The sequence below is a fragment of the Homo sapiens genome, chromosome 3 (genome assembly GCF_000001405.40).
Source record: "Homo sapiens chromosome 3, GRCh38.p14 Primary Assembly".
In the NCBI taxonomy this organism is placed as follows: Eukaryota; Metazoa; Chordata; class Mammalia; order Primates; family Hominidae; genus Homo; species Homo sapiens.
The window spans coordinates 112651545-112668315 of record NC_000003.12 but is presented as its reverse complement, the minus strand read 5'-3'; the positions used below and the strand labels follow the sequence as shown (position 1 = coordinate 112668315).

General features: G+C 38.9%; 1 annotated feature.

The window, feature by feature from the left end:
- Positions 2865-3438: an enhancer, noted in NCBI's record as "H3K27ac-H3K4me1 hESC enhancer chr3:112383725-112384298 (GRCh37/hg19 assembly coordinates)". NCBI's record gives its function as "activates a minimal SCP1, AML or CMV promoter by ChIP-STARR-seq in primed H9 embryonic stem cells {active_cell/tissue: H9 hESC(primed)}" and the evidence as "EXISTENCE:reporter gene assay evidence [ECO:0000049][PMID:30033119]".

Here is a 16771-nt window from a genome sequence, read left to right as displayed (position 1 = left end):
TAAAATTATGAGCATTCTTCTCAGCAATTCACAAAATTTCTAGAAGAATTTCTGATAATGGAGACATATATATATGTATATATATGTACGCATAAATGTGTAAACGTGTGTCTGCTGCTTCAATCCCCACAGAAACATCTTTATGCCAGGAAGATGGAGATTGAGAGATCATAGAGATTTCTAAGCATGCTTAGCCTGTACTCATGTGTTTCTTTCATTAGCAGTTTGTAGAAAACACTTTTGATGTGGCTAACTGAGCAAAGAAAACATGCAGTATTCTGTGCATGGTTGGTCATTGCAAGGTATTTCCTATAACTCACTGTTAGTTATTGAACTTGAGGAGTTAATATTCATTTACATGTTTGTATAAAATGGCCCTCACGGATTCTCTGGTTTATTTCTCATCAGTTAAAGGTGTCACTATTTTTCCCTTCGTGTTGTGCTTGTGGTTTTGTTTTGTCTATTCTCCTTCACTCATTCTGATTCATCTGCTTCATGTCAGAATAAGAAGAGAAGAGAAAAGAGAGAGAGAGAGATGGAGACACGTAGAGAGAGAGAATGACAGTGTCTATGGGTGTGTAGAACATCATGACATTAGTCAGGCAACTACTTCCTTCAACATTATTTCCATTTATTATTAATATGCTCATTGCTTATGTCTTGTCCAGACCTAGAAAGTCAACTCCCCGTTGGTCAACCTTCTAGGGTTATACCTGCTTAGATCAGGCAGAGGCAGTAAAGAGCTACTATGGTAGGAAATTCCAGTGGGAGAAAGAGGCTGGAGGGGTTTACGGGAGGGCCGTATGACTGTAAGTAGGCCAGAGTTATTCAAAGATCAGAACCAGACATTTGAAGGGGGAAACCTTGATGACCATAGACTGACAGCTAACAACAAGGTTCATGACAGTTGTAAATTCTGAGGGGTCAGGACTAAGAACCATGATGTAAAAAATTGTTATCATCACATGCAGGCAGGTAGAGTTGACAGGGTAGATGGACAGAGCTTTAGAGGTATTTGCAAGGACCTCTCCTCTTGCCTTGTGGTTCTTGAAGGATGCTGATTTCTCTGGACCTGGAAACTGCAGAACTGATCTACAGCCCAGAAGTATGTGTGAAGATATAGGAGCCAAAGAAAAGACTAGTCCCTTATCTTCAGAGCAGGAACTTCTGTTTCTATTTAAGTTGATATGATTATTCAGAAAACTCTGTTTAGGGGTAAGTTTTAAGTTTTTTTAGTGTTGGCATTTCAATGTCCTAAACTTTCTTTACAGATGTTTCTTTCAAGGGGGTTCTTGCAGTGAAAGTGTCTAGCACAAATATTAAGTAAGACCATGAAGGCAGTAAAAAGGAGACATGATATAATACCCTTTTGATAGTGCTTTGCTTTGAAAAATTTGTGCTCACATAAATATTTTGCACTGCATGGGTAGCCATGGGATCAGAAATTTTTACAAAAGATTCTGTGTAATGTTAGTTTTGGATCACATTTTGAGTGTAATGGTTCCATACAAGGATGATTAAATGTTGCTAATCTGTCATGCTTTTAAAACCTTTCTTTAAATCCATATCACAATAATGAGAACATGCTGTGGATACCAAGAAGGGCTCATGGGAATGGTCAAAGCACAAAACTTTGGCCTTAAGGTCTTCTGTTTTGATCTAAAACACTTTGTGATTGACCAATACCTGTTGCTTACCAGTAATTGAGGCCTGCACATAAATTAAGAGAAAACTATTCTGACTACAGCCACAGTGAATATCAAAGATGCAAATTAGATGGAGTAGTAAAAGTAGAATAAGTTAAGCTTGTAAATATGGATAAACTGGATTCCCATAATATTGAAACATTCTTCCTTTCGAAGGAATTAGTTTTCAAACATGGCTCCCCATATGCAAATTGAGATGGAGATACTGCCAGCATGACAAAAAGTAGGCAAAAAATTTTAATAAATAATAGTAATAATCAGACACTAAACATTAAACTCCCTCTTTTGTATGCTTGTGTTAACCAAACACAAAATTTCAAGCACAATAATTTGGCCACCAACGACATTGTGAAAACACTATAAAAGAAGACACAGAAAAATACAAAGCAAAGTTTTCCCTTTTGACTTTAGGTATGAAGAATGTTGTTAAATCAGAAGAAATGTATCTTTCCCCAAATTTCATATTAAAGAGAAGGCAGAAGATTTGGACATTCAATGATAAATTAAATTTTTATTGGAATTTTAAAATAAGTCATGCTTAGGAATAAAAGCAGGAATGTTTTTACTTTTAAAATAGAGGTGATAGAGCAGAACTGAATAAAATTGAGACCCAAAAATTCATACAAAGAATCATTGAAACAAAAAGTTGGTTATTTGAAAGGACAAATAAGGTAAATAGACTTTTAGCAAGACTACTAATGAACAAAAGAGAGTAGATTTAAATCAGCACAATAAGAAATGACAAAAGTGATGTTACCACTGACCATACGGAAATACAAAAGATCCTCAGAGGCCACTATGAACATCTATTCACACAAACTAGAAAATCTAGAGGAAACTGATAAATTCCTGGAAACACACAATCTCCCAAGATTGAATCAGGAAGAAATTGGAACCCTGAACGACCAACATCAAGTTCCAAAATTGAATCAGTAATTTAAAAAAACCTATCAGCCACAGCAAGCTCAAAACCAGATGGATTCCCAACTAAATTCTACCAGTTATACAAAGAACTGTTACCAATTCTGAAACTACTCCAAAAATTTGAGGAGGCACTCCTCTCTAACTCATTCTATGAAAGCAATATCTCCTGATATCAAAACCTGGCAAAGATACAACAAAAAAAGAAAACTACGGGCACATATCCCTTATAAACGTAGATGCAAAAATCCTCAACAAAATACTAGCAAACCAAATCCAACAGGATATAAAAAAGTTAATTCACCGTGACCATACTTGGCTTCATTCCTTGGATGCAAGGTTGATTCGACATACATAAATCAATAAACATGATACACCACATAAACAGAACTACAGACAAAAACATATGATCTCTCAATAGACATGGAAAAACCTTTTGATAAAATCCAACATCCCTTCATGATAAAAACCCTCAACAAACTAGGCATTGAAGGAACATACCTCAAAATAAGAGCTATCTGGCAGGGAGGAGCCAAGATGGCCGAACAGGAACAGCTCCGGTCTACAGCTCCCAGCGTGAGCGAAGCAGAAGACAGGTGATTTCTGCATTTCCATCTGAGGTACCGGGTTCATCTCACTAGGGAGTGCCAGACAGTGGGCGCAGGTCAGTGGGTGCACGTATCGTGCACGAGCCGAAGCAGGGCGAGGCATTGCCTCACTTGGGAAGTGCAAGGGGTCAGGGAGTTCCCTTTCCGAGTCAAAGAAAGCGGTGACTGACAGCACCTGGAAAATCGGGTCACTCCCACCAGAATACTGCGCTTTTCCGACGGGCTTAAAAAACGGCGCACCACGAGATTATATCCCACACCTGGCTCGGAGGGTCCTACGCCCACGGAGTCTCGCTGATTGCTAGCACAGCAGTCTGAGATCAAACTGCAAGGCGGCAGCGAGGCTGGGGGAGGGGCGCCCACCATTGCCCAGGCTTGATTAGGTAAACAAAGCAGCTGGGAAGCTCGAACTGGGTGGAGCCCACCACAGCTCAAGGAGGCCTGCCTGCCTCTGTAGGCTCCACCTCTGGGGGCAGGGCACAGACAAACAAAAAGACAGCAGTAACCTCTGCAGACTTAAATGTCCCTGTCTGACAGCTTTGAAGAGAGCAGTGGTTCTCCCAGCACGCACCTGGAGATCTGAGAACGGGCAGACTGCCTCCTCAAGTGGGTCCCTGACCCCTAACCCCCAAGCAGCCTAACTGGGAGGCACCCCCCAGCAGGGGCACACCGACACCTCACACGGCAGGGTATTCCAACAGACCTGCAGCTGAGGGTCCTGTCTGTTAGAAGGAAAACTAACAAACAGAAAGGACATCCACACCAAAAACCCATCTGTACATCACCATCATCAAAGACCAAAAGTAGATAAAACCACAAAGATGGGGAAAAAACAGAACAGAAAAACTGGAAACTCTAAAAAGCAGAGCGCCTCTCCTCCTCCAAAGGAACGCAGTTCCTCACCAGCAATGGAACAAAGCTGGATGGAGAATGACTTTGACCAGTTGAGAGAAGAAGGCTTCAGACGATCAAATTACTCTGAGCTACGGGAGGACATTCAAACCAAAGGCAAAGAAGTTGAAAACTTTGAAAAAAATTTAGACGAATGTATAACTAGAATAACCAATACAGAGAAGTGCTTAAAGGAGCTGATGGAGCTGAAAACCAAGGCTTGAGAACTACGTGAAGAATGCAGAAGCCTCAGGAGCTGACGCGATCAACTGGAAGAAAGGGTATCAGCAATGGAAGATGAAATGAATGAAATGAAGCGAGAAGGCAAGTTTAGAGAAAAAAGAATAAAAAGAAATGAGCAAAGCCTCCAAGAAATATGGGACTATGTAAAAAGACCAAATCTACGTCTGATTGGTGTACCTGAAAGTGATGGGGAGAATGGAACCAAGTTGGAAAACACTCTGCAGGATATTATCCAGGAGAACTTCCCCAATCTAGCAAGGCAGGCCAACGTTCAGATTCAGGAAATACAGAGAACGCCACAAAGATACTCCTCGAGAAGTGCAACTCCAAGACACATAATTGTCAGATTCACCAAAGTTGAAATGAAGGAAAAAATGTTAAGGGCAGCCAGAGAGAAAGGTCGGGTTACCCTCAAAGGGAAGCCCAACAGCGGATCTCTCGGCAGAAACCCTACAAGCCAGAAGAGAGTGGGGGCCAATATTCAACATTCTTAAAGAAAAGAATTTTCAACCCAGAATTTCATATCCAGCCAAACTAAGCTTCATAAGCGAAGGAGAAATAAAATACTTTACAGACAAGCAAATGCTGAGAGATTTTGTCACCACCAGGCCTGCCCTAAAAGAGCTCCTGAAGGAAGCACTAAACATGGAAAGGAAAAACCAGTACCAGCCGCTGCAAAATCATGCCAAAATGTAAAGACTATCGAGACTAGGAAGAAACGGCATCAACTAACGAGCAAAATAACCAGCTAACATCATCATGACAGGATCAAATTCACCCATAACAATATAAACTTTAAATGTAAATGGACTAAATGCTCCAATTAAAAGACACAGACTGGCAAATTGTATAAAGAGTCAAGACCCATCAGTGTGCTGTATTCAGGAAACCCATCTCACGTGCAGAGACACACATAGGCTCAAAATAAAAGGATGGAGGAAGATCTACCAAGCAAATGGAAAACAAAAAAAGGCAGGGGTTGCAATCCTAGTCTCTGATAAAGCAGACTTTAAACCAACAAAGATCAAAAGAGACAAAGAAGGCCATTACATAATGGTAAAGGGATCAATTCAACAAGAAGAGCTAACTATCCTAAATATATATGCACCCAATACAGGAGCACCCAGATTCATAAAGCAAGTCCTGAGTGACCTACAAAGAGACTTAGACTCCCACACATTAATAATGGGAGACTTTAACACCCCACTGTCAACATTAGATCAACGAGACAGAAAGTCAACAAGGATACCCAGGAATTGAACTCAGCTCTGCATCAAGCGGACCTAATAGACATCTACAGAGCTCTCCACCCCAAATCAACAGAATATACATTTTTTTCAGCACCACACCACACCTATTCCAAAACTGACCACATACTTGGAAGTAAAGCTCTCCTCAGCAAATGTAAAAGAACAGAAATTATAACAAACTGTCTCTCAGACCACAGTGCAATCAAACTAGAATTCAGGATTAAGAATCTCACTCAAAACCACTCAACTACATGGAAACTGAACAACCTGCTCCTGAATGACTACTGGATACATAACGAAATGAAGGCAGAAATAAAGATGTTCTTTGAAACCAAAGAGAACAAAGACACAACATACCAGAATCTCTGGGATGCATCCAAAGCAGTGTGTAGCAGGAAATTTATTAGCACTAAATGCCCACAAGAGAAAGCAGGAAAGATCCAAAATTGACACCCTAACATCACAATTAAAAGAACTAGAAAAGCAAGAGCAAACACATTCAAAAGCTAGCAGAAGCCAAGTAATAACTAAAATCAGAGCAGAACTGAAGGAAATAGATACACAAAAAACTCTTCAAAAAATTAATGAATCCAGGAGCTGGTTTTTTGAAAGGATCAACAAAATTGATAGACCGCTAGCAAGATTAATAAAGAAAAAAAGAGAGAAGAATCAAATAGACACAATAAAAAATGATAAAGGGGATATCACCACCGATCCCACAGAAATACAAACTACCATCAGAGAATACTACAAACACCTCTATGCAAATAAACTAGAAAATCTAGAAGAAATGGATAAATTCCTCGACACATACACTCTCCCAAGACTAAACCAGGAAAAAAATGAATCTCTGAATAGACCAATAACAGGATCTGAAATTGTGGCAATAATCAATAGCTTACCAACCAAAAAGAGTCCAGGACCAGATGGATTCACAGCCGAATTCTACCAGAGGTACAAGGAGGAACTGTTACCATTCCTTCTGAAACTATTCCAATCAATAGAAAAAGAGGGAATCCTCCCTAACTCATTTTATGAGGCCAGCATCATTCTGATACCAAAGCCAGGCAGAGACACCACAAAAAAAGAGAATTTTAGACCAATATCCTCGATGAACATCAATGCAAAAATCCTCAATAAAATACTGGCAAAACGAATCCAGCAGCACATCAAAAAGCTTATCCACCATGATCAAGTGGGCTTCATCCCTGGGATGCAAGGCTGGTTCAATACACACAAATCAATAAATGTAATCCAGCATATAAACAGAGGCAAAGACAAAAACCACATGATTATCTCAATAGATGCAGAAAAAGCCTTTGACAAAATTCAACAACCCTTCATGCTAAAAAATCTCAATAAATTAGGTATTGATGGGACGTATTTCAAAATAATGAGTCATCTATGACAAACCCACAGCCAATATCGTACTGAATGGGCAAAAACTGGAAGCATTCCCTTTGAAAACTGGCACAAGACAGGGATGCTCTCTCTCACCACTCCTATTCAACGTAATGTTGGAAGTTCTGGCCAGGGCAATTAGGCAGGAGAAGGAAATAAAGGGTATTCAATTAGGAAAAGAGGAAGTCAAATTGTCCCTGTTTGTAGATGACATGATTGTATATCTAGAAAACCCCATTGTCTCAGCCCAAAATCTCCTTAAGCTCATAAGCAACTTCAGCAAAGTCTCAGGATACAAAATCAATGTACAAAAATCACAAGCATTCTTATACACCAACAACAGACAAACAGAGAGCCAAATCATGAGTGAACTCCCATTCACAATTGCTTCAAAGAGAATAAAATACCTAGGAATCCAACTTACAAGGGATGTGAAGGACCTCTTCAAGGAGAACTACAAACCACTGCTCAAGGAAATAAAAGAGGATGCAAACAAATGGAAGAACATTCCATGCTCATGGGTAGGAAGAATCAATATCGTGAAAATGGCCATACTGCCCAAGGTAATTTACAGATTCAATGCCATCCCCATCAAGCTACCAATGCCTTTCTTCACAGAATTGGAAAAAACTACTTTAAAGTTCATATGGAACCAAAAAAGAGCCCTCATCGCCAAGTCAATCCTAAGCCAAAAGAACAAAGCTGGAGGCATCACACTACCTGACTTCAAACTATACTACAAGGCTACAGTAACCAAAACAGCATGGTACTGGGACCAAAACAGAGATATAGATCAATGGAACAGAACAGAGCCCTCAGAAATGACGCTGCGTATCTACAACTATCTGATCTTTGACAAACCTGAGAAAAACAAGCAATGGGGAAAGGATTCCCTATTTAATAAATGGTGCTGGGAAAACTGGCTAGCCATATGGAGAAAGCTGAAACTGGATCCCTTCCTTACACCTTATACAAAAATCAATTCAAGATGGATTAAAGACTTAAACGTTACACCTAAAACCATAAAAACCCTAGAAGAAAACCTAGGCATTACCATTCATGATATAGGCACGCGCAAGGACTTCATGTCTAAAACACCAAAAGCAATGGCAACAAAAGACAAAATTGACAAATGGGATCTAATTAAACTAAAGAGCTTCTGCACAGCAAAAGAAACTACCATCAGAGTGAACAGGAAACCTACAAAATGGGAGAAAATTTTCGCAACCTACTCATCTGACAAAGGGCTAATATCCAGAATCTACAATGAACTCAAACAAATTTACAAGAAAAAAACAAACAACCCCATCAAAAAGTGGGCAAAGGCCATGAACAGACACTTCTCAAAAGAAGACATTTATGCAGCCAAAAGACACATGAAAAAATGCTCATCATCACTGGCCATCAGAGAAATGCAAATCAAAACCACAATGAGATACCATCTCACACCAGTTAGAATGGCAATCATTAAAAAGTCAGGAAACAACAGGTGCTGGAGAGGATGTGGAGAAATAGGAACACTTTTACACTGTTGGTGGGACTGTAAACTAGTTCAACCATTGTGGAAGTCAGTGTGGCGATTCCTCAGGGATCTAGAACTGGAAATACCATTTGACCTAGCCATCCCATTACTGGGTATATACCCAAAGGACTATAAATCATGCTGCTATAAAGACACATGCACATGTATATTTATTGCAGCATTATTCACAATAGCAAAGACTTGGAACCAACCCAAATGTCCAACAATGATAGACTGGATTAAGAAAATGTGGCACATATACACCATGGAATTCTATGCAGCCATAAAAAATGTTGAGTTCATGTCCTTTGTAGGGACATGGATGAAGCTGGAAACCATCATTCTCAGTAAACTATCACAAGGACAAAAAACCAAACACCGCATATTCTCACTCGTAGGTGGGAATTGAACAATGAGAACACATGGACACAGGAAGGGGAACATCACACTCTGGGGACTGTTGTGGGGTGGGCAGAGGGGGGAGGGATAGCATTGGGAGATATACCTAATGCTAGATGACGAGTTGGTGGGTGCAGCGCACCAGCATGGCACATGTATACATATGTAACTAACCTGCACAATGTGCACATGTACCCTAAAACTTAAAGTATAATAATAATAAAAAAAAAAAAAAGAAAAAAAAAAAGGAAGCAAGGGTATTTCAGAAAGAGAAAGTAGGTGGGGCAGGTAATCAATCCAATAAACATTTAGTGCACATCTACTATCTGCCATCTTAGTATCAGGTGCTGAGGATTCAACAATTGCCTTTTGACCTTTTCAAAAAGGAGAAAGACATATAGACCAGGTATTCCACACTAAGTACTCAATACAATAATTCAAGGGTTTTGTGATAAATATATATTTGGTCTCTGCTCCTGATTCCTGACACTTTGCTCTTAAAACCCTTGGAAAAAAAAAAAATAAGAGCTATCTATGACAAATCCATAGCCAACATCATACTGAATGGGCAGAAAGCTGGAAACATTCCCCTTGAGAAATGGTACAAGACAAGGGTGCCCACTCTCCCCACTCCTATTCAACATAGGACTGGAAGTCCTAGCCAGAACAGTCAGGCTAGAGGAAAAATAAAAGGCATCCAAATAAGAAAAGAAGTCAAACTATCTATCTTCACTGATTCTATGATTCCATACCTAGAAAACCCTAAAGACTCTGCCAAAAATGCTCCTGGAACTGACAAATGACTTCAGTAAAATTTTAGGATACAAAAGTCAATATATAAAAATCAGTAGCGCTTCTATTCACAAATAACGTTCAAGCAAAGAGCCAAATCAAGAATTGAATCCCATTCAGAATAACCACAAAAAGAATAAAATACCTAGGAATACATCTAACCAAGGAGGTGAAAAATCTCGAAAAGGAGAACTACAAAACACTGCTCAAAGTAATCATAGATGACACAAACAAATGAAAAAATGTTCCAGGTTCATGAATTGGAAGAATCAATACCATTAAAATGGCCATACTGTCAAAAGCTATCTACAGATTCAATGCTATTCCTATCAAACTACCAAAAACTACCAGAACTAGTTTTTTCTACCTCTGTCACTTTTCGCAGAACTAGAAAAAACTATTCTAAAATTCATATGGAACCAAAAAAGAGCCTGAATAGCCAAAGAAGTCCTAAGCAAAAAGAACAAAGCTGGAAGTATCATATTACCTGATTTCAAATACACTATAGGGCTAGAGTAAACGAAACATCATGGTACTGGTACAAAAACAGACACATAGACCTATGGAACAGAATAGATAATTCAGAAATAAAGCTACACTCCTATAGCCATCTGATCTTTGACAAAGTCAACAAAAATAAGCCATGAGGGAAGGACTGCCTATTCAATAAATGGCACTGGGATAGCTGGGTAGCCATACAAAGAAGAATGAAACTGGATTACTACTTTTCACCATATACAAAATTAACTTAAGATCAAGTGAAGACTCAAATGTAACACCTCAAACTCTAAGAATACTAGAAGAAAACCTAGGAAATATCATTCTGGACTTTGATCTTGGGAAAGGATGTATGACTAAGTCCTCAAAAGCAATTGCAACAAAACCAAAAATTGACAAGTGAGGCCTAATTAAACTAAAGAGTTTCTGCACAGCAAAAGAAACTATCAACAGAGTAAACAGACCGGTAGAAAATATTTGCAAACTATGCATCTGGCAAAGGTCTAATGTCCAGAATCTGTAAGTAACTTTAACAATTCAAACAAGCAAATAACAATCCCATTAAAAAATAGACAAAAGACATGGATGCTTCTCAAACGAAGACATACAAGCAGCCAAAACACATATGAAAAAATTCTCAACATCATTAACCATCAAGGAAATGCAAATTAAAACCGCAATAAGACACCATCTCCCATCAGTCAGAATGGCGATTATTAAAAAGTCAGAAAACAGCAGATGCTGGTGGGGCTGAGGAGAAAAAGGGACCATTATATGTTGTTGGTGGGAATGTAAATCAGTTCAATCACTGTGGAAAGCCATTTAGAGATTTCTCAAAGAACTTAAAACAGAACTACCTTTCGAACAAGCAATCCCATTACTGGGTAAATACGCAAAGGAAAATAAATCATTCTACCAAAAAGACACATATACTTGTATACTATTCGCTATAGCAAAGACATAGACTCAACCTAGGTGCCCACTGACAGTAGGTTGGATAAAGAAAATGTGGTATATATACACTATGGAACACTACACAGCCATAAAGAAGAACAAAATCTTGTCCTTTTCAGCAACATAGATGCAGCTGGAGATTATTATCCTAAGTGAATTAACACGGGAACAGAAAACCAAGCACTGCGTGTTCTCGCTTATAAATGGAAGCTAAGCATTGAGTATACACGGACACAAAGATGGGAACAATAGACACTGGGGACACTAGAGTGGAGAGGGAGGGAGAAAGGAAGAAATCTTGAAAAACTATTAGGTACTATGCTCACTAGCTGAGTGATAGGATCAGTGGTACCCCAAACCTCAGCATCATGCAATGTACCCATGTAACAAATCTTCATTTGTACTCCCTGAATCTAAAATAAAAGTTGAAATTATAAAAAATTAAATAAATATATAAATAAATAAATAATATATCAGTGATAATAATATTTACTTTATCAGGTTATTCACCTAAAAGTTCTGGCATTGGGATGGGTGTGGTGGCTCACACCTGTAATCCCAGCACTTTGGGAGGCCAAGGCGGGCAGATCACTTGAGGTCAGGAGTTTGAGACCAGCCTGGCCAACATGGTGAAACCCCATCTCTACTAAAAATACAAACATTAGCCAGGCATGGTGACAGCCGCCTGTAATCCCAACTACTCAGGAGGCTGAGGCAGGAGAATCACTTGAACCCAGGAGGCAGAGGTTGCAGTGAGCTGAGATAGCACCACTGCACTCCAGCCTGGGTGACAGAGTGAGCCTTCATTTCAAAAAAAAAAAAAAAAAAAGTTCTGGCCTGACAAAGAGGTCACTCAGCACATATTCATTTCCTCTCTTCAAAGAGAATCACCAAAATGTAACTATGAATATTCCTCTGGATGACTTAGCACAAAATAAATTGAGATGAGAATTTATTATTTGCTCTTAGATAAAAAAGTTATTTTAGAGGAAAGTAGGGAAATACAGTAGAGGTAGAGAAATCTTTAGAAAATTATCCCCTCTCTTCCAAGAATGCACCCCCAACTACCCTCACACAATGATACTATTGGACTTGGCAATAGTGACTAACACCTTTTCCACTATTTTTAACTCTGGTGTCTGTAACTTACAAAGATAAATATTTAAGTCAAGTTACAGTAATTCTGAACAATTCTTTTTAAAAATGGAATTAGAAAGCAATTGGGGTAAACAACAACAATAACATCAACAAAAGAAAAACAACTTAAAGGCACCTACCTCATGGGAGGCTGATTGTGTGATGGAAAACCACATGCTATCTATAATCGTATAATATAATCATATAAACAGGGTTTAATAAGGGTTTCGATAAAGTAATACCAGTTGAAGGGTTTTATAAGGGTTTCAATTCCAGCTACAAACATAAGCATTGTGTGCCCTGGAGACTACATTTCCTTGGCTGTTAAATGAAGATAATATTGGCTGTGAGAGTAAAACAGTAAATATAGTACACTGAACCCACAGCTTGGCTGATGGTATTCACTCATTTATTCATTCAACAATGTTTGTCTTTTTAACACCATGTTTGGCAATGTGCTGAGCAATAGAAATATAACAGTGAAAAAATAGGCATGGTTCTTGTTTTCATGGAGTTTAACAATATGGCAGAAGAGGCAGACATTAATAATGATATAAATAATAGTTTGATAAATAAGTAAAAGTTAATTCTGATTAAAAGTTAGTTGCCTTTCTCTTCTCCTTATTTGTAATTTAAAAATCATGTTCTTTCTACTTTCACTTTTGAAAATTTAGTGAAGTAATGAATGTGAACCCACTTTGTAAATTCTGAAGTTATCTACAAATATTAATTGCTATATTTGTAACAAAAATATATCAAGCACGCGCTATTCGTAAGGCGCTAAGAAAAGTAGAAAGGTAAACTAGACATAGGTTCTGCCTGCCCCTGCTGGAGGAAGGTAGGACAGCTGGCACTATGAGCTATTTACATAACTCCAGACAGAAAGTACTAATAGGTGCTTTGAGAGAGGGTTGGGCAGAGGGATTTGATATTTGGAGGAGACAGAGATTGGTCCAGTTGGAGAGGGCTCAGGGAAGACTTTATGGAGCAGATGCATTTGAACTGGATCTAGACAATTAGGGGGCATTTGGACTTGAGGAGATCAGGGAACAGAACATGCAAAGGTGCAGAAGTGGGAGAATGAGGGGCAACAACAGTAACAAAACAGTATGTAATGCATTTGGTTGGATTGAAAGAGGCATTAACGGCAGTAGTCGGCAACGAGTTTGGACAAATAGTTTGGGATCAGAGGATCAAAACATAGAGGACCTTGAATGCTGAGCTAAAGAGTGTGACCTGTACTTTTGACAGCTGTGAGCCATTGGAGGAAATTGAAGAAGACAATAACTTCGCTAGAGCTGTGAATCAGAAATAGTGTGCCTTGAGTCAGGAAGAGTAATCTACAACTGCATATAGGATGTATTGTTATGACTATCAATATAATTTTGCTGAAGAATTTGGAAAGAGTGCTTTTAACCGTGTATTTTGGCCCTCTTGAAATCCAGGGTCTAGAAGCTCACAGTTGGAGTGGTCTATGGAACCTGAAGTATTTTTGTATTCAGGAGTACTGAGACATATTGAACACAAACTTCCTTCTCAAAATAATATGGGACTTATAAAATGGACCCAAAGATCTTATTTCTTTGGAAAAACTAAAGCAGTTTTTTTTTTAGTACATTTACCTTAGCACAGGTTACATTCTCTATAATTTAATATCACAGAAATAGGGAAGAGAGACACCAGGAGGTAAAAATGATTGCTCTAAAAACTAAGCTGCTATGATTCAACATCCTAAAATGCACATACCAAACCCCTCTCCCTCCCTCACACCCACTCAGGCCTATGACTTTAGCATTCAGTAATGGCTGATCAAAACATCTATCCCTGCTCCTGGAGCTCCCGTGAGCTGTGTGCACAGAACAAGCTGACCCTGACTGTCTCTTCTCCCATGAGCCTTTCAGAGCCAAACCAGCTGTGGGAGATGTGCGGCAGCTGGTCAGCCAATCAACAAAAAGCTGCCGGGTGACAATCTCCATTTGTGACTTTACATAGATGGTGGACGAAGCCAAGTTGCCCTGCTCAGCTGTGTGGAGAACCTCTCCACTGAAAGAGAATAACAGATGTTCATTTTAAAAAAAAATTTCCAAACCCGAAACATAATTTTACTACACAAATACACGCCAGTGAATATTTGGAGAATAAGAACAGTTTTTGCCAGCCTTCACAGGGTGTCTGGATGACAAACACAAAGAGAATTATCTACATATTTGTAGTCTACATCAGATTTCTATGATGACCTCCAGAGAGCATGAGACACTGTCTTGGTATGTCCCACAGAACAGTTCTCAGTGTTTGCGCTGGATGTGTTTGGAGCCAGGGGCAAAGATGAGGGTAGGCTACTCATTCCCAAGGCAGGGAGAACTAATGAAGTAGGAACAAGATGGGTAGCTGAAGACTTTGTCCTATTGCCTCACATAAAAGTCATTGTGTTAAATAAATGTGTCTGGCATGAATTTACCAACATAGAAGAAAATGATACCAAGCCAACCAGATAAGCTTTTAACAGATTCAAAGTCTAGAATTTAAAATGCTCTTCATTCAAATAAGCAACCAGTGCCTTAGGGTTGGGCCCTCAGGGATGAAAGGCTTATGTAACCAAGGAAGGCAGCCAGAGGCTAAGCCCTTTCTCCTAATGATGAACAAGTAACTGAAGAACTCCCACAGAGGACGATACCTCAGAACCCGTTCTTCAAACACTTTACCTTGCCGCCTTGCCCCAAAGGTTGTATATTTACGACCAACATCTGAGTTCATACATTTTATAAAAGGCACCTAATGCTTAAGTTCTCTGTTAAGGATCCCTCCTCCCACTTTAATTTAACACCTTCTCCAACAGGGTGCTTTCTGCCTCCCCAAGCATCTCTCCCCTTCTCTAAATAGCTCTTATAGAACATCTTCCTTATAGTAAGCTGAAATATTCTCTAATATTTGGGCATGTGAAAGTATAGCTGAAAGGATGCTGGAAAGCACAGTAGAGAAAAAGGAGAAAGAAAAGCAACTGGGTTATTCTTTTCACAGAAGTAAGTTGAATTTGAATAGTCGAGTGAACATTTAACTGGCTGTGTTGTAATTGAAAAACAGGAGATAAATTGGTTCTTTAAATCATCAGTTTATCAAGTTCTGAATATGTGTAAAACAGTTTCAAATATTTCCCCAAGTACCTCTGTCATATCAATAAATTGGGTGGATATTATTCACTTGCACATAATAAAATATTTGTTTAAAAACTCAAAAATAACCTCTGGATTTAAGACATTGTTTTATGCTCTATTTCTACCATAATCACTCGTACAAAAATCTCAATAATTCAGATATACTTGCTCACCATGTATAGGTGTACATACGTCATGTTTTAATGGTCATCTATTTTGAGACACTAATAAATTACAAATAAAATTAAAGCTACAATTTTTAAAAAATAAAATAAGCGTCAGGTGTGGTGGCTCATGCTTGTAATCCCAGCACTTTGGGAGGCTGAGACAGGTGGATCACCTGAGGTCAGGAGTTCGAGACCAACATGGTGAAACCATGCCTCTACTAAAAATACAAAAAAAAAAAAAAATAGCTAGGCATGGTGTCTCGTGCCTGTAATCCCAGCTACCTGGGAAGACGAGGCAGGAGAATTGCTTGAACCTGGGAGGCAGACATTGCAGTGAGCCGAGGTCGCACCACTGTCCTCCAGCCTGGGCAACAAGAACGAAACTCTGTCTCAAAAAAACATACATACATATATATACACATACATGTACATATGTGTACATACACATATATGTGTGAGAATGTATGTATATATGTATATATGTATATATGTGTATATATGTATATATGTGTATATATGTATATATGTGTATGTGTGTATATATATAAAATAAGCTATTTTGTTCTTAAAATAAAATTTAAACCACATCTTCTTTCTTCTTTCTGCCTTTTTTTTTTTCTTAAAAAAAGCAACTCTTTGTGTAGCCAGGTTAATTTAGGCCCAACATGGTAAAAACAAATTCTTTCCATCTTATTCCAAGTTTAGACCCAGGCAAACTTTTTAATAACCAAGTTATTAAAACCCTTAATTAATGGAATCACTGCTTCCCAATTTCCAAATCATGCTACTAAGCTGCTGTTCAACTGGAAGCAAAGGTTCTGTGGCTCTGCTCTCCGTTCATATATGGGAATGTTCACTATTCAATATGCCCTGTGAGGTGTGTCTAGCATGCTTCATAATTCCAGTAAATCTGTGCAGCCCACACTCAAACCCCCAAGTGGTTTTCTCCTGATGATCACAGCCCTGAAGCCATGCATTCTTCTTGAACTTCCCCAGGGCGTCTTCTGTGTCATACTTATCTGGTGGTTAGAGCTCAAAAACTTCTTTACAGGAGGAAATCTCAGGGTAGCAAGCTCCATTCAGATATTACATTGTAGGCATCTCATTACTCCTTTCAGCTGGATCCAACT